Source organism: Homo sapiens, chromosome 2 (assembly GCF_000001405.40).
Source record: "Homo sapiens chromosome 2, GRCh38.p14 Primary Assembly".
NCBI lineage: Eukaryota > Metazoa > Chordata > Mammalia > Primates > Hominidae > Homo > Homo sapiens.
The window spans coordinates 37,125,853-37,152,030 of record NC_000002.12 but is presented as its reverse complement, the minus strand read 5'-3'; the positions used below and the strand labels follow the sequence as shown (position 1 = coordinate 37,152,030).

General features: G+C 40.5%; 1 protein-coding gene and 1 pseudogene across 6 annotated transcripts in view; one reads left to right on the top strand and one right to left on the bottom strand.

Annotated features, from left to right (window-relative positions):
- The window catches only part of EIF2AK2 (eukaryotic translation initiation factor 2 alpha kinase 2), a 57,771-nt gene that overhangs the window by 4,950 nt on the left and 26,643 nt on the right, over window positions 1-26,178 (top strand). For 2 of the 6 annotated variants that reach the window (XM_047445116.1, XM_011532987.3), the window contains exons 2-11: window positions 3,092-3,174; window positions 4,209-4,343; window positions 5,058-5,178; window positions 10,330-10,478; window positions 12,274-12,400; window positions 13,446-13,522; window positions 13,668-13,761; window positions 15,014-15,048; window positions 16,485-16,547; window positions 25,620-25,742. In XM_047445116.1, coding sequence (XP_047301072.1) covers window positions 4,225-4,343; window positions 5,058-5,178; window positions 10,330-10,478; window positions 12,274-12,400; window positions 13,446-13,522; window positions 13,668-13,761; window positions 15,014-15,048; window positions 16,485-16,547; window positions 25,620-25,742 — 908 coding nt within the window. In that variant the 5' untranslated portion in view covers window positions 3,092-3,174; window positions 4,209-4,224. Of the gene's footprint in view, window positions 1-2,773; window positions 3,175-4,208; window positions 4,344-5,057; window positions 5,179-10,329; window positions 10,479-12,273; window positions 12,401-13,445; window positions 13,523-13,667; window positions 13,762-15,013; window positions 15,049-16,484; window positions 16,548-25,619; window positions 25,743-26,178 lie in introns of those variants that run through there. The other 4 variants (XM_047445115.1, NM_002759.4, NM_001135651.3 and 1 more) reach the window with 3 other exon arrangements.
- Window positions 2,727-3,659, bottom strand: ARL14EPP1 (ARL14EP pseudogene 1; annotated as a pseudogene).

Here is a 26,178-nt window from a genome sequence, read left to right as displayed (position 1 = left end):
GCAGTGGCGCGATCTCAGCTCACTGCAAGCTCCGCCTGCCGGGTTCACGCCATTCTCCTGCCTCAGCCTCGCGAGTAGCTGGGACTACAGGCGCGCGCCACCGCGCCCGGCTAATTTTTTGTATTTTTAGTGGAGACGAGGTTTCACCGTGGTCTCGATCTCCTGACCTCGTGATCCGCCCGCCTCGGCCTCCCAGAGTGTTGGGAGTACAGGCATGAGCCACGGCGCCTGGCCTATCCATGTTGTAGCATGTATCAGTACTTCATTTTTTTTGTGACTGAATAATATTCCGCTGTGTAGATATATTTCACATTTTGTTCACCATTTATCCGTTGATGGACACTTGGTTTGTTTCCACCTTTTGGCTATTGTTAACAGTGCTGCTATGTACATTCCTGTCTAAGTCTTTGTTTGGAAACCTGTTTTCCAATTCTTTGAAATATCTAGGAATGGAATTGCTGAGTTTTATGATAATTCAAAGTTTACCTTCTAGAGGAACCCCAGCAACCGTATTGTTTTACATTCTTATCAGCAGTGTTTGAGGGGTCCAGTTTCTCCATGTCCTCACCAACACTTATTTTTTATTATTTCCTGATTATTATTATTATTGCCATACTAGTGGGTGTGAAATTGTATTTAGTTGTGGTTTTGAATTCCATTTCTTTAATGACTCATGATGTTGAGTATCTTTTCATGTGCTTATTGGCGATTTACATATTTTCTTTGGAGAGATGTCTGTTCAAGCCCCTTTGCCTATTTTTTTAATTGGGTGGTTTGTCTTTTTGTTGTTGAGCTGTAAGAATTCTTTATATATCTGGTTACTAGACCCTCATCAGATATATGATTTGTAAATATTCTATTCTGTAGATTGTCATTTTATTTTCTTCATAGTGTCCTTTGATACACAAACGTTTTAAATTTTGATGAAGCCCAATTTATCTCTGTTTTCTTTTGTTGCTTGTGCTCTTGCTGTCATAGCTAAAATTTTATCACCAAATCCAAAGTCATGAAGATCTCCCCCATATTTTCTTCTAAGAGTTTTATAGTTTTCGCTTGTACATTTATATTTTATATCCTCTAAATTTTGTTTATAATTTAAATCATTGCTATAGACTTGGTCCAGTGAGACCTATAAACAGAGGTCTTAATTTACTCAGTGGTTAAATTGTCCTAAAATTGATTTCTGCAAAATTCAGAGGGGAGATTTTTGGGATTTCATAGAGAAATCTATATCCATACAGTTAAATCCTTCATGATTTCATACACTTCACTTTTTTAAAGTATTAAAACTTTTTTATTTGAAGAATACGTGGGGAGAAGAGAAATATATTTCAGCACTTAGATATGTAGATTATTTCCAAAATAGTTTACCACTCAACTAGTCACTTCTGTGTAAATCAGTTTTCCCTGAAGCAAGCATTGTGTTGTTCCCGGCTACAAGCGGTCCTCATTTTGCATGGTACTGTGGGACCATAAAAATGGCCATGCAAAGCAATCTTAATAATCAATGGGGAAAATGATGATTGTTCCATGACCTTTAAAATTCTGCTAAAATATTAAAACTCTTAAGGTCAGTTATAAATGTAGAAAAAAATGCAAAAAAAATTTAAAAATATTTAGTACACTGTAATTTAAAACATTAAAAATAGAATTAAAGTGTTTTATTTCATTGTGAAAACTAAGTAGTTTGAATAGGGATTGCCTTTTTTTTCTGCCAAGTGACTTATGATACTGAGTAAGCATCTTTTCTATTCATGGCAAACTGTCATACTCCTTTTAAGTTTGGGTGAGCTTCCAGCCTTTTATTGCTTGTGCTTTCAATGTTGTGAAGTATTTCTGTATTCACATTAAATGCTCTTTAGTGTGAAGTTTGTTTTTTTTTTTTTTTTACCGTCACTTCCTCTGGGACATATTTATCTTTATTGCAATCACTTTTCTTATTTGTGTTGATAAGTTTGCCTTCACTAAGCTCCTATGAATGCACAGCAGGAAGAACATTCCCATGATCAGTGACTTCTTCTACAAATCCATTTATGTTTGATTCAAATTTCACTTCCAGTGTTATCATTTTTCGTTGCTTTGTTGGACTTTCATCTTTGTTGGCCAGTTCTTTCGATTGTTCACTTCTATAAAATGTCAGGTGGAGGACAAAGAGACAGTGTAACTACGTGCTCTGCTGTGAGTGAACTGATTAACAGATGCACAGGGACCAACCACTGGAAGAATTTGAAACAAGTAACACGACTGGTCACTGATCATGAAGCATATCTGTTATTTACATCGTGATTTGTAGACTGAAGAACTAGCAGAGAAGTTTGTACTTCCTGTAATTACTCAGAGTTATACTGTGCTACCTAAAATTTTAACCTAGGTTTAAACAACACCAGTTTCCTTACCAGTTTCCTTTCCTTCCTGGTAAGGAAACTGGTATTTAAACTAAATCTAGGTCACTGAAATTTGTGCCATGGGAACCGTGCACATTGAGGACCTGCCTACACCCTACATGTTTATATTGGTCCAGGCAGGCTTAATGCTGACTACTGAGAAATAGGCTATCTGAATTTATATCAAATAGTGAATCTTAAAGCACCCAAGATGAAAAATTCGTGCACATTGAGGTGCTTTTAAAATCTTTGTCATTTGACAATCAAGCTTAAAATGTATCTTAGAGTAACCGAATTTTAGAAATAAAGACCTTTAAAGGCCCCATAGTTTGATACCACAGATTATCCAGCATGTTTATAATGAATTATTTCTCCTCCTTCAATTTCAGTTTGCTCATACTTTGTGACTTGCGGTCACAGTGGCATTCAGCTCCACACTTGGTAGAACCACAGGCACGACAAGCATAGAAACATCCTAAACAATCTTCATCGAGGCATCGAGGTCCATCCCAATAAAAATCAGGAGACCCTGGCTATCATAGACCTTAGTCTTCGCTGGTATCACTCGTCTGTCTGAACCAGCGGTTGCATTTTTTTAAGCCTTCTTTTTTCTCTTTTACCAGTTTCTGGAGCAAATTCAGTTTGCCTTCCTGGATTTGTAAATTGTAATGACCTCAAAACTTTAGCAGTTCTTCCATCTGACTCAGGTTTGCTTCTCTGGCGGTCTTCAGAATCAACATCCACACTTCCGTGATTATCTGCGTGCATTTTGGACAAAGCTTCCAACCAGGTACAAGCGGTCTTCCGAATTTTGCACTCAGAAAAGTGGCATCATCTAAGTCAATTACATGCAAATTCTGGGGGGCTAGTTTTTTGTGTATGTTAAATGGGTCACAACACGACTTCTGTAAATCCTCAAATCTGTCAATATAAATTTTTATGTGATGAAAGCAAATTGTATTGTTCCTAGAAAGTGTCCTTCCAGTTCTAAGTTGAAGTAAAAGCATGTCATTTGATGACAATTCTTGCAACATCTTAAAACCTGTGTGACAAGTATAGTAGGTTTTATGGCACTCATTTGTAGTACGAAGCTGGACTGCAACTATCGATCCATCATTGTTGATTCTAGCATATTTTCCTTGTTTTATTTTGTCTAGAGATCTAGGTCACGGGCTGATCACCCTTAGCTTGAGCTCTCCTCCGCCTGGCTTCCGGCAGGATCCACGTCCACACAGGCACACTTGCCTGCCCGTTCATTTCCCAGCCTGTCCCCATGCTACCACTCCACTTCACTTATTATATATACTCTAAATCTTTTTCTTCTCAACATAAAACATTCTACAATCCTGCAGCCTTTTTACTTTTTTAAGCAGGTAGGCAAACATGTAGTTGATACTCAGTGGAAGCACAGAGCAGAGTTAAAGAGAAGGACCCCCTTTCACTGACCAGTTGAGTTTTTTTTCTTTCCTTTATTTTTTAAAACAATTTCAAAATTGAGATGGGGTTTCGCCATGTTGCCCAGGCTGGTCTCGAACTCCTGAGCTCAGGTGATCCGCCCACCTTGGCTGGGATTATAGGCGTGAGCCACCACACCTGGCCAAGTTGAGTTTTTAAAGTAGAAAATTTTGGAGAAATTAACTTTATTGTGCAGTGAATGAGAAAGAAAGAACGGTTTTGAAAGAAAGTCTCTGCATTTATGTGAGACTGAGATGAGTCCTATAAAGGGGAGTCTCCCCAACCCCTCTGTCTCCTAAACTGCATTGGGAAACTCAGATTAAATATGTTCTGTGAGCATCACTCATTCAAATGTCTCTTCCATTGTAGGATACGGGAAGAAGAAATGGCTGGTGATCTTTCAGCAGGTTTCTTCATGGAGGAACTTAATACATACCGTCAGAAGCAGGGAGTAGTACTTAAATATCAAGAACTGCCTAATTCAGGACCTCCACATGATAGGAGGTAGGTTGCTATAAAAAATGATATGGCAGCCATAAAAAATGATGAGTTCATGTCCTTTGTAGGGACATGGATGAAGCTGGAAACCATTATTCTCAGCAAACTATCGCAAGGACAAAAAAACCAAACACCGCATGTTCTCACTCATAGGTGAGAACTGAGCAATGAGAACACATGGACACAGGAAGGGGAACATCACACACCAGGGACTGTTGTGGGGTGGGGGGAGGGGGGAGGGATAGCATTAGGAGATATACCTAATGCTAAATGACGAGTTAATGGGTGCAGCACACCAACATGGCACATGTATACATATGTAACCTGCACGTTGTGCACATGTACCCTAAAACTTAAAGTATAATAATAATAAAATTAAAAAAAAAAGAAAAAAGATATGACCTTATAAATGTAAGCTGGGGGAATGGCAACTCTGGCACAACTTTGAGGTCAACACTTTAGTTTTGTGAGAGTGCTCTTGGCATAAAGTGGGAACCATGGTGGAGCCACAGTTGACTCCAGAGAGAAAAGAGGGTAGAAACCTTTCCATGCTTCAACAAGACATGCTGCTTTACTGTTTGAGGTGACTGCTTAAATGCTATATTGAATGTAGGTTCAAACCCTCAAAGGTAGTCATAGGAGGTAGTGATGACTAGAGTACTTGTTTTTAGATAGTGCATGAGTTGTATAATATTTTATGAATATTCTCTTTGTAATCAGGTTTACATTTCAAGTTATAATAGATGGAAGAGAATTTCCAGAAGGTGAAGGTAGATCAAAGAAGGAAGCAAAAAATGCCGCAGCCAAATTAGCTGTTGAGATACTTAATAAGGAAAAGAAGGTGAGTGATTGCCTTTTTTCCTAATAAATGGGAACTTGCAAATACATTTTCTGTTTCTCTCTGTGAGAAAATACTTTCATACAGAGTAAAGCCATTCACACGTTCCCTTACATTCAAGAGTTTGGTTAAGTCATTCACCCTATCTTCATTTCTATGAAACCCTGAGTGAGAGCCACACCTAGGACACCATGGGCAAAGCTGGATAATAGTTATTTAGAGTGTCAGCAGCAGTTAAATACTCTAAAGTTGAACAAATATGGAAAGGTGAGAAGTGTTCAGTGGGAAATGAGCTGACAGGTTCTGGGAGGAGTCCCCTCCACCTAAATGAGGAAGTACAGTAAAAAAGGAAAAAGAGATGAAAGTGATTGTAGGGAGAATAATGTACAGTGGTCACTCACTCTCTGTGGGGAATTGGTACCAGGACTCCCTGTGGATGCCAAAATTCACTGATGCTCAAGTCCTTTATATAAAATGGCATAGTATTTACATATAACCTATTTACATCTTCCCATATACAGTTATGCATTGCTTAACAAGGAGAATACATTGTGAGAAATGCACCTTTGGGCAATTTCCTCATTGGGCAAACATCATAGAGGTACTTACACAATCCTGAATGGTACAACCAGTACACACCTAGGCTGTGTAGTATAGCTTATTGCTCCTAGACTACGAACCTATACAGCATATTATTGTACTGAATACTGTAGCCAATTGTAACACAATGTTTAGTATTCATGTATCTAAACATATCTAAACACAGAAAAAGTACGGTAAAAATACAGTATAAAAGACAAAAGGCTGGGCTTGGTGGCTCACACCTGTAATCCTAGCACTTTGGGAAGCTGAGGCGGGTGGATCACCTGAGGTCAGGAGTTGAAAACCAGCCTGGCCAACATGGTGAAACCCTGTCTCTACTAAAAATACAAAAAATTAGCTGGGCGTGGTGGTGGACGCCTGTAATCCCAGCTACTTGGGAGGCTGAGGTAGGAGAATTGCTTGAACCCGGGAGAAGGAGGTTGCAGTGAGCTGAGGTTGTGCCACTGCACTCCAGCCTGGGGATCCTATCTCAAAAAAAAAAAAAAAAAAAAAAAAAAAAAAAAAAAAAAAGACAAGCAAAAGTACACCCATATAAGGCACATACCATGCATAAATAGAGCTTGCAGGACTGGAAGTTGCCCTGAGTTTGTCAGCAAGTGGGTGGTGAATGAATGTGAAGGCCTAGGGCATTATTGTTTACCACTGTAGACTTTATAAACACTGTATACATAAGCAACATTCATTTTATTTAAATTTTTTTTCTTCAATAATAAATTAACCTTAGCTTACTATAACTCTTTTACTTTATAAACTTCTTATTTTTAACATTTTCACTCTTTCCAAATAACACTTAGCCTAAAACACAAACGCGGCCAGGCGCGGTGGCTCATGCCTGTAATCCTGGCACTTTGGGAGGCCAAGGCAGGCAGATCACCTGAGGTCAGGAGTTTAAGATCAGCCTGGCCAACACGGTGAAACCCTGTCTCTACTGAAAATACAAAAATTAGCCGGGCATGGTGGTGGGCACCTATAATTCCGGCTACTTGGGAGGCTGAGGCAGGAGAATTGCTTGAACTCAGGAAGCGGAGGTTGCAGTGAGCCGAGATCGTGCCACTACATTCCAGCCTGGGCGACAAGGCAAGACTCTGTCTCAAAAAAAAAAAAAAAAAAACCCACAAAACCACAAACAAACACATAGTATGGCTGTACAAAAATATTTTGTTTCTTTACATGTTTATTCTATAAGCTTTTTTCTATTTTTAAAATTTTAAACTTTTTTTTTTAACTTTTAAACTTTGTTGTAAAAAATTAAATCATGGTTGGGCATAGCGGTTCATGCCTGGGATGTCGAGGAGCCATGATTGTGCCACTGTACTCCAGCCTGGGTGACAGAGTGAGACCCTGTCTCAAAACAAAACAAAACAAAACAAAGGCTGGGTGTGGTGGTTCATGCCTGTAGTCCCAGCACTTTGGTAGGTCAAGGTAGGTGGATCACTTGAATTTGGGAGTTTGAGATTAGCCTAGGCAACATGGTGAAACCCTGTCTGTACTAAAAACACAAAACATTAGCCGGGCTTGGTGGCATGTGCCTGTAGTTCCAGCTACTCAGGAGGCTAGGCGGGAGGATCACGTGCCTGAGAGGTCAGGGCTGCAGTGAGCTGTGATCTTCTGACTGCACTCCAGCCTGGGCAACAGAGCAAGACCCTGTCTCAAAAAAAAAAAAGAAAGAAAAAAAATTACAACACAAACACACACATCAGCCTAGGCCTACACAGCGTCAGGATCATCTACATCACCATCTTCCACCTCCAGATTTTGTCCCTCTGGAAAGTGTTCAGGAGCAATAACATACATGGAGGTGTCATCTCCTATTGTAGCAATTCCTTCTTTTGGATTACCTACCGAAGGACCTGCCTGAGGCTGTTTTACAGTTTACTTTTTTTTTTTTAAGTAGAAGGAGTAACTTCTAAAATAATGATAAAAAAAGTATAGTAAATATATAAACCAGTAAGTTACTTATCATTATCCAGTATTATGTACTATACATAATTGTGTGTGCTAGACTTTTTTATAAGACTGTAGAACAGTAGATTTGTTTACAGTAGTGTCACCACAAATGTGTGAGTAATGCATTGTGCTGTAACCCAGGAGTTTAAAATTATCCTGGGCAATATGGCGAAATGCTGTCTGTACTAAAAATATGAAATTTAGCCATTACAGTGGCTATGACCTCATTAGATGACAGTAATTTTTTAGCTCCATTATAATCTTATGGGACCACTGTCATATATGCAGTCCATTGTTGACCAAAATGTGATTATGTAGTACATGATTATCCTTTAGATCATCTCTAGATTACTTATAATATCTCTAATACAATGTAAATGCTATGTAAATAGTTTTTTTGTTGTTGTTGTTGTCGTTTTTTGAGACAGGGTCGTACTCTGTCACCCAGGCTGGAGTGCAGTGGCATGATCAAGGGTCACTGCAGCCTCAATCTCCCCAGGCTCAGGTGATCCTCCCACCTTAGCATCCCAACTGGCTGGGACTACAGGCACGAGCCACCACACCTGGCCAATTTTTGCATTTTTTGTAGCGATGGAGTCTCACTATGTTGCCCAGGCTGGTCTTGAACTCCTGGACTCAAGCAATCTGCCCACCTCAGCCTCCCAAAGTGCTAGGATTGCAGGCATGAGCCACCACACCCAGCTATAAGTAGTTGTTATGCTGTATTGTTTAGGGAATAATACAAGAAAAAAAATCTGCATATATTTAGTACAGATGCAACCATCATTTTTTTTCCAAATATTTTTGATCCATGATTGGTTGAATCCAGGGATTTGAAACCCGTGGATATAGCGAGCCAAGTGTTTACAGAGAGCAGGTAATGGAGAACCAATATACATGTGACTGGTATCCCGGAAAATAAGAACAGAGTAAATAGTGCAGAAGAAAATGATCTGAAGAGATTTCAGCAGACAATGTTTATGAAATAAAGAAAGACTTGACTGCAGATTAAAACAACTTAATAGATACAGGAAAATTTAGAACCACCCAGACCAACATTGATTCTTTTTTTTTTTTTTTTTTGAGACAGAGTCTCGCTCTGTTGTCCAGGCTGGAGTGCAGTGGCACAATCTCACTGCAACCTCCGCCTCCCATGTTCAAGCAATTCTCTGCCTCAGCCTCCTGAGTAGCTGAGATTACAGGCACCCACCACCACGGCCAGCTAATTTTTTGATATTTTTAGTAGAGACAGGGTTTCACTATGTTGGCCAGGCTGGTGTTTAACTCCTGACCTCGTGATCCACTCGCTTTGGTCTCCCAAAGTGCTGGGATTACAGGTGTGAGCCACCGCGCCCGGCCCCAACATTGATTCTTATGAAAGTACTGTGCTCCAGAGATGAGGAAAGAATTTTATAAGCATCTAGAGAGAAGAGGAAAACTATGTAAAATGTAAAAATTTTTAAAATTTCATGCTGTGCACAGCAACATTATAAACCAGGAGATAGTGTAGCAATGCTTATAAAATGAAACATGAAGTCATTTACATTTTAGACACCAGAGGGCCATTCTCAGATTTGGAAAATGTTGGGAAAATTTAGGTTTCAAGGTTCTTTCTTGAAAAATCTACTTAAAGATACCCTTCTAACCAATTTTTTTTTAACTCAAGCAAAAGTGCAAAGTATAATTATTAATGAGGTAGAAAATTGAGTCAAGAAGTTAGAAAAAACAAAAAACAGAATGTTTTACCCCCAAAAAGCAGAAGAAAGAAAATAACAATGGTTGAAATTACTATAAAAGAAATAAAAAATAAAAAAAAAAGATCAATAAAACCAAAAGCTAGTTTTTTGACAAGATTAATAAAATAGCAAAACTCAGCCGGGTGTGGTGGCTCACACCTCTAATCCTAGCATTTTGGAAGGCTGAGGCGGGCAGATAACTTGAGCTTAGGAGTTCGAGAACAGCCTGGGCAATATGGCCAAACGCTGTCTCTACAAAAAATACAAAAAAATTACCCAGGCATGGTGGTGTGTGCCTGTAGTTCCAGGTGCTTGTGAGGCTGAGACAGGAAGATGGTTTGAACCCAGGAGGTCAAGGCTGCAGTGAGCTGAGGTTGCACCACTGCACTCTAGCCTGGGTGACAAAGTGACACCCTGTCTGAAAAAAATTAAAAAAATATCAAAACTTTGGACAAGATTTTTGTCGGACTAAGAAAAAAAGGTAGAGATAATAATAGTAGAAATGATGCTATTATATTCATCTTTTTCATTAAGTTATGATCCAGTATACAGCTTTACTGTAATATCTCTTGCCTTGTTTTTTGAGATTAGAAAGGGTATAACAAGCTAGAAAGTGTTATAGTACTTTCCAAGGACAAACAAGAAAAAGTGACTTCTTTCCTATTGTTAAAATCTATCTTCGTCGATTTTTTTCTGGTAGAGGGAGATACGTAGTCACACTTTTGCTCAAGGTAATATAATAGGAAAATATATAACATCCAAGTTGTCTTTCAAATTGCTCATTTAGTAATTTTATTAGAAGAATGATTTTTAAAAGGTTAAATCTTTGTTGTCATTTATATTAAACAGGAATTTTTTTTCTTTGTAGGCAGTTAGTCCTTTATTATTGACAACAACGAATTCTTCAGAAGGATTATCCATGGGGAATTACATAGGCCTTATCAATAGAATTGCCCAGAAGAAAAGACTAACTGTAAATTATGAACAGTGTGCATCGGGGGTGCATGGGCCAGAAGGGTAAGACATAATTTGGCTTTTCTTTCTGTTTCATTGTATTTAAGCAATAAAGTTGGTTTATTTTCGTGTCTAATTTTCCAGAAATATGTGTCCTTTTAAGCATTCTGTATGCAAGGTTTTACATGATTGATAAGTAATTGGATTTATAATTTGTAATTAAAATGCTTAATTGCTGAAGCCATGGAACCCATTTACCATAATTGATCAAATTAGGGTAATCCTTTATTTCAGAGAAGTAGCTGGATGGTTTAGTCTGTGGAACACCCAAGAGAGTACAGGGTGCCACTGCTCGAAGAATACAGAAATCTTTTCATCATTGAGGACATGATGGTGGTAACTGTCTGAAAACCTCTCTGCCACATGTATAGAATCACTCTTCACCCTTGTCAGATCAGGGAGCTCTTTGTCCAGGTATTTGTCCTTCAAATTTGATTAAATGAACAAATACCATGTATCAGAAGGAATGAGCTTTAGCCCTAGACTATGAGGAGACCGGGATTTGAGGGATCTGATGAGACAGATGAACTAGAGTTTCAAAGTTACTGAGAACATCACCAGTGAGCTAAGATGTGTGGAAATAGGATAAAGAATGGATTGGAACTGAAAAAAGCAGAAATCAAATGAGTATGAGGCAATTGTTTTTCAACTACAACCAACCAGTTAAAGAGAAAGAAGAAAAAAAATATCTACATGGCAAATAGTTTAAATCATCACTTTAGGATACACTTCTATGAATTGACTCAGCTATTTACAGTCATGGCTTTTGAGCCAAAACCAGGAAGAGAAAAATGTTATAGTATTCATTGGAATGAAATAGTCAAAAGTGAATCTGTGAGTCAATCTCAATAATTAAGAGATGATTTTATTTTCTGTAGCTCACTTTTTTGGTTTCTTTAAATTATGCTAACATTAGATACCTAAAAGAAAGAAGAAATCTGTTTGCGGGGGGGGGCAGTATCTGAAAAAAATAGGAGCTATAGAAATGATCCAGTCACTCAACCCAGCTATTTAATTCAGGGTCTAGCGGGGAAGACTCACCCTGTTTGGATGTGTTTCTCTCGATGGCTTCCAACAGAAACATAAAGCAAAAGGAGTTCAAATACTGGAATCATTTTTCAGTAATAGATAGTAACCCTGTGATATAAATTGCCATGTCCATTGTTTTATCCCTTAAAAATAGTTATTATATAATTGTCCAAGTATCCTTGCCTAACCACAAATGTCCTTACATCTAATAGGAGGAGAGTGTGGACTTTAGTATAGGGAATCTGCACTGTGGGGATTTTCTCAAATTTTTGTGCACATGAGCAGATGGCAGACAATGGTGAAGTTAGAGCAGAATCCATGCTTTGCTCTTCCCCTACACTATAACCTCATAGCTTCTCCTGTGGAAGCCTACTTTCTCTGCTGGCTTTTTCCTTCCCATTTGAGCACCTCTGAAAAAATTCACTGGATCTCTTTCTTTCTTTTCTACCTCCGTATCTTTTGACCTTTGGGGAATTAAAAAAAAAAAATCACCACTTAGTGCCTTTGTGCCAGATCTTTCAGCAAAGCAACAAAAAATTAGAAATTGCCTGGAAAATGCAAGCTCAGATGTCAGCTGATCCTGGGTATTCAGAGAAATTGGTCAGGCATGTTACTGAGGGTTTAAATTATGCAAGATATGAACTATAAATCTATCTAATAAATTGGTGTTATCTTAAGATCTCTGTTAATATGTTATTTTTTTTGAATCCTAAGTTGGATTTGCTATATTTTTCATGTTTGGATAAGTACCTTCTATGATTTCTCCTAGATTTCATTATAAATGCAAAATGGGACAGAAAGAATATAGTATTGGTACAGGTTCTACTAAACAGGAAGCAAAACAATTGGCCGCTAAACTTGCATATCTTCAGATATTATCAGAAGAAACCTCAGTGGTACGTATTGCCTTTGGATTAAATTTTTATGTTTTAAAATTCCCTCTGAAGTTGACTTGAGGTTAGACTGTGTTAACATTATGCCAAGACAGCCAGTGATTTAGCAAAATGATTCCTCCATTCTGTGTCGTACCGATGAGCCATGCACCATGGGGCCATGAGGCCTCAGAGGGATAAAATTTCTGGTGGCAACTCAGGGTAGTTTTTAAACTCCAGGCTGGGCTGGGTGTGGTGGCTCACACCTGTAATCCCAGCACTTTGGGAGGCCAAGGCAGGTGGATCTCCTGAGTTCAGGAGTTTTTTTTTTTTTTTTTTTGAGATGGAATCTCGCTCTGTTGCCCAGGCTAGAGTGCAGTGGCACGATCTCGGCTCACTGCAACCTCCGCCTCCCATGTTCAAGCAATTCTCCTGCCTCAGCCTACTGAGTAGCTGGGACTACAAGCGCCTGCTACCGTGCCCGGCTAATTTTTTATTTTTAGTAGAGATGGGGTTTCACTATGTTGGCCAGGCTGGTCTTGAACTCCTGACCTCATGATCCACCCACCTCAGCCTCCTAAAGTGCTGGGGTTTACAGGCTTGAGCCACTGCACCTGGCCGAACTCAGGAGTTTCAGACCACCTGGCCGGGGCAACACAGCAAAACCATGTCGCTACAAAAAAAAAAAAAAATTAGACGGGTGTGGTGGCATGTACCTGTAGTCCTAGCTACTCAGGAGGCTGAGGCGGGAGGATTGCCTGAGCCTGGGAGATGGAGGTTGCAGTGAGCCAAGATTGTGCCACTGCACTTCAACCTAGACAACAGAGCCAGATCCTGTCTGAAAAGAAAGAAACAAACAAAATATCTGCCCTGTGATCCAGAAAAGTAAAATAAAAAATAAAATAAAATCCAGACCAAACATCCAAAAAATGTTATTAATCTTGTAATTGTTTATGGTTGTGGATTTGGTAAATGTGTTGAAATAAATGTGATAGTACATAGAAACTGAGCCTCTGTAGAGAAATAATTAGTTGTATTTAAGCCTACTAAGGGATACTTTTTCTTTCAGAAATCTGACTACCTGTCCTCTGGTTCTTTTGCTACTACGTGTGAGTCCCAAAGCAACTCTTTAGTGACCAGCACACTGTAAGTGTAGACAAACAATTGAGATACTTAACATATTCATATTTCTGTCTGAAAGACAGATTTTTATGTTTAAGGAGAATTTAGGGAAAGAAATAAGTGATAAAAACAGAATTAATAAACTAATAGTTACACCCTTTTCTTCTAGCGCTTCTGAATCATCATCTGAAGGTGACTTCTCAGCAGATACATCAGAGATAAATTCTAACAGTGACAGTTTAAACAGTTCTTCGTTGCTTATGGTATCGTATTAGTCTCGAAGCTTCCTACTTAATCTTATTTTTCTGTGCGTTTCCTCATTTAAAAATAACTTCCAGTATTCCACCATAATTTTTATATTTTTTATCTTATGCACTCTTACTAAATGATAATACCTCAGTAGACTTTTTTTTTTTTTTTTTTTGAGATGGAGTCTCCCTCTGTTGCCCAGGCTGGAGTGCAGTGGTGAGATCTTGGCTAATTACCACCTCCACCTCCTGGTTCAAGCGATTCTCCTGCCTCAGCCTCCTGAGTAGCTGGGATTACATGCGCGTGTACCACACCTGGCTAATTTTTGTACTTTTAGTAGAGACGGGGTTTCACCATGTTGTTCAGGCTGGTCTCGAACTCCTGACCTCGTGTTCTGCCCACCTCGGCCTCCCCAAGTGCTGGGATTACAGGCATGAGCCACCGCGCCCGGCTCGGCAGCTTTTTGACTTTTTTTAAAATTAAGTTCCATTCCTTACCCTTCCACACGTCACTTCTGTCTTTCCTCACTCATCCTTATATTTTAGTATATTCCTATGATTTTGCTTTTCTCTCCTACCAATGGGATAATATTTAAAGATTCACTAATATAGTTCGTTTCTGTTTTTAAAAATTAGAATTAAACTTAAAAGTAAACTTGAAATCAGATAATTTTTTAGGCTGGTGCAGTGGCACATGCCTGTAGCCTGCAGCACTTGAGAGGCCAAGGTAGGAGGATCGCTTTAGCCCAGGAGTTTGAGACCAGCCTAGGCAACATAGTGAGACCCTCATCGCAAAAACAAACAAACAAACAAAAACCAGACAATTTTTTTGTGCACATAAGCAGGCAATGTTGAACTTAGAGCAAAATCCATGCTTTTGGTGATTAGTGTTACAAGAGTATTCTGTTATAAAGAACTACAAATCAATAAGAAAATGGCAAGCAGCTCAGTAGAAAAGTGTACAAAATGTATAAACAGATATTCAGAGAAGAGATACCCAAATGGGCAACAAATATTAAAAGCTGCTTTACTAGGAATCAGGAAAATTTAAATCAAAACAATTAGATACTATTTTAAACTCATTAGATTGGCAAAAAGTTAAGTCTTACAATACTAAGTGTTGATACAGGGCTTGATGAGAGTACAGACATTGATGGACTAAGAAATTGGTCAGAGAGCCATCTAGATATACAGGAGGAAGGAAAACGGGAAAGGAAGATGACTGATTTAGTCATCTGAAACTATTTCTCATTTTCTTTTGTTATAGAATGGTCTCAGAAATAATCAAAGGAAGGCAAAAAGGTGAGTATCATTATGCATTGAACATATTTTGATCTGAAGTTTTATTTCAGACTTATTTATTGTTCTTAATACTTGTAGAGTATTGTACACCCTTATTTGAGCAGAGTTTCAGAAGCAGAAAGCTTGAAATCTATAAACAAATAATTTTAGATGTGTCGAGAAATCTTTGACTATGTGCACATGCTACACTGTAAACATAAAGCACTTTGGGGGTATCGCTAGAGTAATTAGGTTAAGGGCATTATTTTGTACAAGACTGGCAAGGAATTGGGCTGTTTTCACTGTAGAAGTGTTTTCAAGAGAAGTGTATTATTTTGCAGACAAGTAAGGTTAAAATAGCATAAAAACTTGGATTAAAAAAAGGTCAAATGCTATGTCAATTAACTGAAGAGAAAGGCAAAGATGTAAATATAGTCAGAAATGACAGTAAGATGGCAGTAGGAGCCATTATGAGCCACCAGTATATTCTGAGCAGTAGATAGATGTATTGAAGAAACATGGTTCTTGATGTGGATGCTTGGATGGAGAGAAGAGAGTTCTGCACATGAGGTGCCCTCAGCCACGATTACTGTGGCAGTCAGGAGGGATGAGGAGAATGTGTGAGAAAGACTGTAAAGGAAGAGTGGACATGACTTGAGGGAATAGGTTCCCCGTAGCTGAGTGAAAGCATGAAGGAGAGGTAAAGGAGAAAGGATTTGAAGATTGCTTCACTTTGAACAGGATGCAGTCAAGAACCATGGCACTAATGGTGTTAAGGAAGTTAAGGAGTTAAGGGCTTAGAGAGAAGACAGCAGTTTGGATATGTTTAGTTTTAGGTGGTATTTAAACTTCCATTTGCAGGTGGCTTATCATCAGTAAGGAATAACAGCTAGGATGAGGGTGTAAGGAGATGTACTTCCTGAGGTTTTGAGTCTGGAGGAGGAAAAGGAGAGGTTAGTGACGCATCAACAATGAGCACTCTAAGGTGGAAAAAGGAACCAGAGGAGGGATGAAAAAGTATTAGAGGCCAGAGGAGAACGGTAAGTATATAGTTTTATAAAGAAAAAAGTTGGCTGGGTGCTGTGGCTTGCGCCTGTGATCCCCAGCACTTTGGGAGGCCAAGGTGGGAGGATGGCTTGGGTCCAGGAGTTCGAGACCAGACTGGGTAACATGAAGAGACCCTGTCTCTACTAAAAATAAAAAGAATTAGCCAGGTATGGTGGCACATGCCTGTAATCCCAGCTACCTGGGAGGCTGAGGTGGGAGGATCTCCTCTGAGCCCAGAATTTCAAAGTTGTAGTGAGCTATGATCACACCACTGCACTCCAGGCTGGGAGATGGGGTGAGACCTTGCCTCTGAAGAAAAAAAAAGAAAGAAAAAGGTTAACATTAACACTAAATAAGTTATATTTGATTTCAATTTTATTTGAGTTTTACATTCAACTCTTAATTTTTAGATCTTTGGCACCCAGATTTGACCTTCCTGACATGAAAGAAACAAAGTATACTGTGGACAAGAGGTAAGATTTTAAGTGCTGAAGAAAGAAGAAGGGGTAATGCTGTCGGTGGATGTTTTTGGTAGTTGTCTGTGAAATGGCCATGATCCTGTCAGTTAAAAATATTTGAATAAGATTAACTACGCAGGGTAAGAACAATAGTCTTAGGCTTATCATTAAGAGGGGGCCCAGGAATGGGATGACCCATATTATGATTTTGTTCCCAAACCAAGAATCTAGTTGGTTGTTTTGATACTCCCTTAGCTTTTTAGCCCTTTCTTTAAGTTTTTCATCAGCGTTTCTTACTAGGCCCAATTGGTTGAGATAAAAGCAACATTCCTCACCCAATGAGAGGCAGAGGTCCCTTTTTTCAGCCATTATTAGATCTAGTCCCCATCTGTTTTGGAGGACTACTCCAGCCGAGGAGTCTAGTTTGTCTTGGACTCTTATAATGCTTCAGGCTATATCTTCTAAAGAACCCTGTAATTCTGTGGAAAGAGCTTTAAAGTATGTTAAGGGAGTGGCCAATCTGCCTGCTCCCAATCCAAGTCTGGAGGTTATATCCAAGGCAGCCATTAAAGGAATGACGTGGATGGCCCTCCTCTTCCTAACGTATTGGATGGATGGAATGGGCAAAGGTTGGCTAGGAGGAATTAGTCCAATGGAGGGAGAAAGATAAACTAGGGTACAGGTTCCAGTCCAGTTAGTGGGGAGACAAAGATATGTGTTGGTGCCACTCACACAAAAAATAAGCCTTTGTCATAAATACAGTTGGAGATACAGAAAGAAAACAAGTGAATTAAAGATGGGTGTTTTTTCTTTCCTATGGTTCATTACTCCAGGTGGTCAAGGAGGAGGTCAAGGAGACACCCACTATAGTAGCGATATAGGAAGAGTTATTTTTTACACATTTAATACGATTTGATGTTGCACCATTGCATTGATGTTGAGCCATGGATAAAGGTGGGCGCTAGGGGCAGCACAAATTAGGCCAGAGGCATTGGTTGAGGGAGAGGCTGCAAAACGAACAGGTTGCAGAAATGCTCCATTCGTTTCAGGTGATACTTGGTAGTCAACTCGGTTAGTTTGATGGTCAGCAGGGTGTTTAACAATGATAATGCGGTTGCATTGGTTAGGTTTAAGGATCTTACACGGAAATTTCCCTCAGAGGCTGAAAAGCAAAGTGAGGCTTGTTGTAAAAGTGGGGTGTGTTTAATTATGGGCCCTTCAATGGGAGGGCCTTGTGGCTTAAGGCGTTGTAGGGAGTTGTAATAGGTTTGAAATAATGTGTTGGCCTGATTGACCTTGGAAGTGGGATAATCGCCAACCAGACTGTCAGCTCTTTCAAAAAAGGAAGCTCCTTTTTGGAGTTTATAGATTAGGGTTACGTTTTCTGTTAAAAGGTCATGAAGGGGTGTAGGAAGGGATGTATAAGCTGAAGAAGACAGCGATAAACACATCCAGCATTCTGGAGCAAAGGAAGAGTTAGCTTGCAGCAAGAGGGGTTGTGTAAGGTTTATAGAACGTTCTAGTTTGATAGCAGTGAGGAGTGGTTGTATCGGTGAGGTTGATGTGATTAGGGAATTTAGATAGAAAGAAACAACAAAAGGAGGAAAAAGTTTGGGTAGGAATAAAGTCCTGGAAGGTTCCTTGAAGCCATAAATCCCGTGGAATAGTAAGGAGCTGATCAGGATGTATAATGAGAGTTTCATAAGGATACCACTGAAGGTCTGTAACAAGGCTAGTTAGGAAGCAATGAAAGTTTGGGAGAGAAAGAGACATAGCTGCTTAGGTGAATTTCTCTTCCTTTTCCTCCGGCATTCATGTGAGATGAAGGGAAGTGGATCCTGTGGAGACACAAGAGAGGCTGAAGGTGGTTTAGATTTGATTGTTTGGATGTGTAGTGAAGGGAAGTCTGTGTTCTTGAGAGAAGTATAATGAAACCAGCTGGGGAGTCCCTGGAGCTTTGCTGCTGTGGGTGTAGTGAGGAAGATCTGGTAAGGCCCCTTCCATTTTGGTGTGAGGGGGGAATTGGGGGTAGGGCTGGGACCTTTTACCAGAACCCAGTTTCCTGACTGTAGGAAGGGATTAAAGGAGTTGTATTTTGTCAGCATATTCCCAAATGAAATGGCAGATGATATGCAGAAGAGGAGAAATGAGAGGGGTTGTTAGAGGTGGGGCTTGACCCTGAGGTGGAACAAAAGGAGCATGAGTTCAAATACTTATGCTCAAAACTCCCATACATGAGTTCAAAGGGGATGAGCATTAAAGGTTTACGTGAGAGTGCCCGAATTTTTAGGAGGGCCAAAGCTAGAAGTGTAACCCAGTCTTTATGTGTTTGGAGTGAGTACCTGGTGCGGGTGATTTTTAGAATGCCATTCATTTTTTCAACCTTTCCTGAAGACTGGGGTTGATAGGGGATGTGTAGCTTCCAGGTGATTCGTAGGGCTTGTGCAAGTGTTTGAGTAATTTGAGAAATGAATTCAGGACCATTATCAGATTGAAAAGAAGGAGGCACCCTGAACCTGGGGATGATTTCTGTTATTAATTTGGAGGTGACAGTCGAAGCTCATTTGTTGGTTTTCGGAAAAGCCTCAACCCATGCCGAAAAGGTATCAACCAGAACCAAAAGAAATCGAACCTTTTTTACTGGGGGCATATGGGTAAAATCAATTTCCCAGTCTTGTCTTGGAAGGTGTCCCCTGGCTTGATGGGTTGGAAAAGAAGGGAGTCCAGTGTTGGAATGGGGTGAAGCTTTCTGGCAAATAGAGCATTGATGGAAAATGGCTTTCAACTGTTCCTTTATATCTGGGGTTATGTGTATGTGGGAACTTAAGAAATGTTGTAGAGGGGAATGGCTAGTGTGCAAGAGGTTGTGGATGTCCCATAACAGAGTTGTTTTTTGTTTGTTTGTTTTTTGAGACAGATTCTTGCTCTGTCACCCAGGCTGGAGTGCAGTGGCACGATCTCAGCTCACTGCAATCTCTGCCTCTGGGGTTCAAGCGATTCTCCTGCCTCAGCCTCCTGAGTAGCTGGGATTACAGGCACGCACCACCATGGCTGGCTAATTTTGTATTTTTAGTAGAGACAGGGTTTCACCATGTTGATCAGGCTGGTCTCAAACTCCTGACCTCGTGATCCGCCCGCCTCAGCCTCCCAAAGTGTTGGGATTACAGGCGTGACTACCGCACCTGGCCAAGAGTTGTTTTTTCAGGGTCAGGTAGGACTAATTTGTTTTGTATGACAGTATGGGAGTTTGAATTGTGCCCCCGCTGTGAGTAGTTGTTGTATTTGGTGTTTGGGATAAAAGGGGATATGTTGTGTGAGGGGAAATAGATACTAGAGAATTGGATGGTTGGTTGAGGTGTGTTTTGCCCAATAGTCAGCCTCACGGTTCCCTAAAGAAATGTGGCTTTTATCTGATTGAAGTCCTTTGCAATGGGTAACTGCAGCCTTTTTTGGAAGTAGAGCTGCCTTTAGTAGACAATGGATTAGTTTTCCATTAATGATAGGAGTTCCCTTAGCTGTGAGATAGCCCCACTTGCTCCAAATTTGGGCATTGGAATGGTTGATGTTATAAACATATTTAGAATTGGTGGTATATATTAACTTGTGTGTTTTTTGCTAGGGTTAATGCTTTCATTAGGGCAACTAATTCTGCTTGTTGGGAGGATGTGCCCAAAGGCAAGGGGGCAGCCTCTACAACTCTTCTAGGTGGAAGACAGTGGGTATCATCACAATATCTCTCAGTGACTGCATATCCTGCTTGGCGGGGAGGGTTTTTTGATGCGCTGCCATCTATAAATCAATCTGGGGCTCCCTTTATGTGAGTGGAAGTAAGGTGGTAAAACACGGCAAGAGAACTTTCAATTAGATCAGAGCATGAGTGTTGGTCAGGGTCCAAAATCAGTGTTGAAGATAAAAGAGTAGCAGGATTAGGAGTGAGCATCTGTGAAGAGAGATGGAGGGTTGAATGTAGGGCTTGCATGTGAGAGGATGAGATGGAGGTGAGCGCCTTATGGCTGAGCATATCTTATAGACTGTGAGAAGAAAACACCTGAAGAGGTTCATAGAATGTGAGTTTGTGCCTCAGGGATAATTAAAGAGGCTGTGGACAAAATTTTTAAGCAAAGGGGCCAGGTTTTGTAAATGGGGTCTAGTTGTTTTGAAGAATATGCCACTGGTTGGAGGGAATCTCCCATGGATTGGGCTAATAGTCCAAGGGCCTGATTATGAGAACTGTGTAAATATAGATGAAAAGGTCTTAGGGGGTTTGGAAGGCCTAAAGTGGGGGCCTGTAATAAGGCACATTTTAGGTGACAGAAAGCATGATAAAGGTCTGGGGTAGGAGTGAGTGGTTGATCAAGATTTCCTCTTGTGTGTTCATAAAGAGGTTTAGTGATAGTGGCAAAATTTGCTATCTATAATCAGAAATATCCCACTAATTTGAGGAAAGAAAATAAGTCCCTTTTTGTCTTAGGAAATGGGACTTGTTAAATGCCTTGCTTTCATGCTAGTGGAATTTCCCTGGTATTTGGAGTTATGATTAATCCTAGCTATGAAACGTTTGGAGAGGTTAAATTGGGTCTTCCTTTTGGATATCTGGTACCCACATTCAGCCAAAAAATTTAAAAGCCTGGCTGTGTGTTGAATACAGTGTTCTAGAGAGGGGCTGCAAAGAAGTAAATTGTCCACATATTGAAGCAAAACACTGGGTTGTAGAGGTAGTTGGGAAAGGTCCAATCAAAGTGCCTGACCGAAATAGTGAGGGCTGTCCCTAAACCCCTGGGGGAAGACAGTCCAGGTGAGTTGTTGGGAGTAGCCTGTGTCAGCGTCAGTCCAAGTAAAAGCAAAAAGGTTTTGAGAGGAGGAAGATAGAGGGATAATATAAAAGGCATCTTTGAGGTCTAATGCAGAGAAATAGCTAGTATTGGGAAGAATTTGCAATATGAGGATATAGGGGTTTGGGACAACAGGACAAACAGAACAGTAGTGGAGTTATTTGTTGCAAATCCTGAACCAGTCTATAGGAGCCATCTGGTTTTGTAATTGGGAGAATAGGAGTATTGTGGGGAGAATGGGTGGGGATTAAAATATTGGCAGCCAGGCCAGGTCGGTGCCTCACGCCTGTAATCCGAGCACTTTGGGAGGCCAAGGCGGGTGGATCACCTGAGGTCAGGAGTTCAAGACCAGTCTAGGCCAACATGGGGAAACCCCATCTCTACTAAAAATACAAAAATTAGTTGGGCATGGTGGCACACACCTATAGTCCCAGCTACTCAAGAGGCTGAGGCAGGAGAATTACTTGAATCTGGGAGGCAGGAGTTGCAGTGAGCCAAGATTGCGCCATTGAGCTCCAGCCTGGGTGACAAGAGCAAGACTCCATCTCAAAAAAATAAAATAAAATAAAATATTGGCAGCCAAAAGTTGGGAGATGATGGACTTGAGTCCCCATAGTCCATTAGGGGATATTGTGGGACCACTATTTGACATTTAGGATCCTTCATTGAAATTTGAATTGGAGAATGGTGGGTAGCTAACATGGGGGAGTCAGTGTTCCATACTATGGGATTTACAGGGCTGAGGAATTTGGGATTTAAGTCTGTTTGATATGGAATGTCTGAGGAAGGGTTCTGTTCTTGAGATGATAATAAATAGGGGTAGCTTTGGTGTAGGGTTGATAAATGAATGATTCGTCCCCGTTTGTGTAGGATGTCCCTTCCTAGTAAAGGAGTGGGGGAATGAGGAATGACCAAGAAAGAGTGAGTGAGGGTGACTCCCTGAAATGAGCAATATAGAGGCAGTGTTTTGTATGGGGTTTCTTGTATGCCCTTCATTCCATCAACAGAAACAAATGAACATTCTAATGGGCCTTGGTATTCAGTTAATGCCAGTAGACTTGCCCCAGTATCCAAAAGAAAGGAAATAATCTTACCAGATACCGTCCCAATTAACCTGGGTTTTGTGGACTCACTAGATGTGGGGGCGAAGGATGCCGGGTACCCTCAGTCTTCCGTTGTCAGCACCAACAGTGAAGAGATTTCCTCCTGTAATGTTTGGGGGGCTTCATTATGAGTGGTACCCGAATGGGGAAGGTGTCCCTGTTGAGGGCATTCCATCGTCCAGTGTCCCCAAAGACTGCAAGTTGGGCATGGTTTGGTGGGAGGCCAGGGGATAGGACAAGCCTTTTCCCAGTGTCCAGGGTTGCCTTATTGAAAACAGACTCCTGGAGAGGTGGGGGAGTTTCCCTTTGGGTTATTAGGAGGCTTTCGTATAACTGACTTTTGGACAGCAGAGGCAAGCATCTGGTATTTTAAATGGAGATGTTTGTCCTCTTGAATTTTTTGTTCCTCATCTCTGTTGTTAAAGACATGGAAGGTCGCATTTAGGAGCTCCCACCAAGATGTCTGGGGGCCCTCCTCTAATTTTTGTAATTTTTTCCGAATATCTGGGGTGGATTGGGAAATAAATTGGAGGTAGAGAAAAGTTTGACCTTCTCTAGATTCTGGGTCCAAATTGGTATATTTTAGCATAGCTTCAGTGAGGTGTGATAAGAAAAGGGCAGGGTTTTACTGGTGCTCTTGTGTAATTTCTCTGAGCTTTTCATAATTAACTGCCTTATGGGCATTTTTGTCCATGCCCGTGAGGAGACAGGTAATCATGTGGTCTCTTCACCTGATGCCATTGTCTCCCTGTTGGCAAGTCCCATCTGGGCCTCTATGGGGGACTGCATCATTGGCCACTGGATTTTGTATAGGGGCTTTATTATGGAGTTATTATAATCAAGGGGAACTTAAAGTAGTGGTGCTTGTCCAAGATGGTAATGCTCCTGTTCTGTCAAAGATGGAACTGTGAAATAGAATTTGTTTAAAGATGTGTTGTTCATTCAACAGAAGTTTCTTGAGGGCCCATTATAAGGCTAAATTATACTTCCACCCGAACAGTTTAATTGACATTGCACTATCCGGCGCACGATTGATCATGTCTCTTGGAGAAGTAATATCTAGACAGATCCAAATGGAATGTGGTAATTGTAGATCTTTGTGATGCTTATGTGGATTTCTCTGACATCTATACAAGTTATTAATATTGAAAACAAGTACTCCTGTAAATCAGTGATTAAAAAAAATACTTCTGTGGGAATTAGAATTGATCCACTTGTATCTGTTTTCTACTTTCTAGCTCCATATCAGATTTCACTTGAAAAAAAGTCTACTCTGCTGTAGACAATATGTTTGGATTTAAAATGAAATGTCTGAAACGATGGAGACCTGTTTGCATCAGTGGGGCGGGTCATTCAATATAAAACTTTAAAAAACAATACGGAATCAAAAGTTTATTAAGCACCCAATATAGAATTGGCACTGTGCTGGGCATCAGGTTTATGGTAGGAACAAATAAAATGGTCCCTGTTGTCATGGAGTTTCATGGGGATGACCGACTTTAAATAAATAATTACATGAACAGGCCAAGCACAGTGGCTCATGCCTGTTATCCCAGCACTTTGGGAGGCTGAGGCGGATGGATCACTTGAGGTCAGGAGTTCGAGACCAGCCTGGCCAACATGGTGAAACCCCATCTGTACTAAAAATACAAAAATTAGCAGGTGTCGTGGCATGCACCTGTAGTCTCAGCTACTTTGGAGGCTGAGGCAGGAGAATCGCTTGAACCTGGAGGGTGGAGGTTGCAGTGAGCGGAGATCGCACCACTGTATTCCAGCCTGGGTGACAGAACGAGACTCTGTCTCAAAAAAAAAAAAAAAAAAATTGCAGGAACAAACTATGGTCAGAGCTGTGAAAGGAAAGCAATGGCATGGAGAGAAATGGAAGCAGGGGTGAGGCGAGGTTTCTCTGGGGTCACAGTTGTGGGGAGGCCTGATGGATGAGTGGGCACAGAGCAGTGGGTGCTAGGTGGAAGGAAGGGCGTATGAGAAGGTAAAGATGGAAAAGGTGATGTGAAAGTTCGAGAACAGACAGAAGAGTGTGTGCTTTGAGTGCAATGAGGAGGGGCACAGTGCCATGAGATGAGGATGCTGAGGGAGGCAGGGGCCTCCTCATTTGGCACCTTATAGGCCATTTAAGGGCTTTTTGTTTTTGTGGAATGCAAAGGTTGGCTGTTGGAGGGTTTCAGCAACAGAGAGACATGGCCAGACTCAGTTTTCATCCCTCTGGTTGCTGCATGGATCATAGATTGGAGTGGGGGAAGAGAGGAAGTGGGGATCCAGTTAACGAGGTACTGCTATGGCCTAATGGAAGCATGGACTGGGGTGAAGATGTTGGAGGCAGAGGAAAGCGGGTGGATACCAGCAATGTGTTTTGGAGGTAGAATTGACAGGTCTTAATGATGGAACACGAAGCTTGAGGGAGAAGAGAAAACCAAGTAGAAACCTAGGCAGGCTTAGAGCGTATGCCCATTTCTCTTATAAAAGCTTGATGATAGTAGCTGTGGAGCACAATATAGCAGTTCCTTTGAACATTTTGTATTTGTGATAGGATTTTTATCATGGCTTTTTTTTTTTTTTTTTTTTTTTTTTTTTTTTTCTGTTTTTTTGAGATGGAGTTTCATTCTTGTCGCCCAGGCTGGAGTGCAGTGGTGTGATCTTGGCTCACTGCAACCTCTGCCTCCCAGATTCAAGCAATTCTCCTGCCTCAGCCTTCCAAGTAGCTGGGATTACAGGCACTCGCCACCACACCTGGCTAATTTTTGTATTTTTAGTAGAGACGGGGTTTCACCATGTTGGCCAGGCTGGTCTTGAACTCCTGACTTCAGGTGATCCACCTGCCTTGGCCTCCTGAAGTGCTGGTATTACGGGCATGAGCCATGGCACCTGGACTTATCATGACTTTTGAAAAGCCAGGAGTTGACTGTGACTGCCTGGGGTGATATGTTACGTTAGACTTGCCCTGGGAGGAGTGAGAGGACTACTCTTTGTGAGTCAAGAGTTTCTGCCAAGTGGATCTTTCTTATTCAGAAGGAGAGAATCAAATTTGTTTTATTGTCCATTTCACAAGTGACATTAAAGGGAAAGGAGTGGGGAGGCGGGGGGGTGGGGGTTGAGCATGAAATGTCAAAATAACAGTGGTTTTTATCTTTAAGGTTTGGCATGGATTTTAAAGAAATAGAATTAATTGGCTCAGGTGGATTTGGCCAAGTTTTCAAAGCAAAACACAGAATTGACGGAAAGACTTACGTTATTAAACGTGTTAAATATAATAACGAGTAAGTAGTAAATGTTTACATTTTTTTGAATGGCAAGGTACGCTGAATCTGCACTATTCTTTTTTATGCTTCTCTCTTCTTTATTAGGGTATCATTTATTTCTTTCTGATCCTCATTAAACATTTCATTCTACCAAGAGGAGTTTGGCTTACTCCGAGATGATCTCACTTTACTGTGGTTATTTCAATAAAAATGGATATACCATTGATCATCCTTTTGGTGCTATCTTCAGAACTGAAGCTATAGAGTCATTTGCTTTAAAGTGACATGCAAATTCATGAAATGCTCCGTATTTTAAAAACCGTGGCACCAGATAGAACCTATCATTACCCACAAAATAGGTGATCTTTGAGATGTTCTAGTCTTACCTTCTTATTTTATAGATGAGGAAACTAAGATCCAGAGATGTGAAGTGATTTTGTCTAAGATAAAAGCT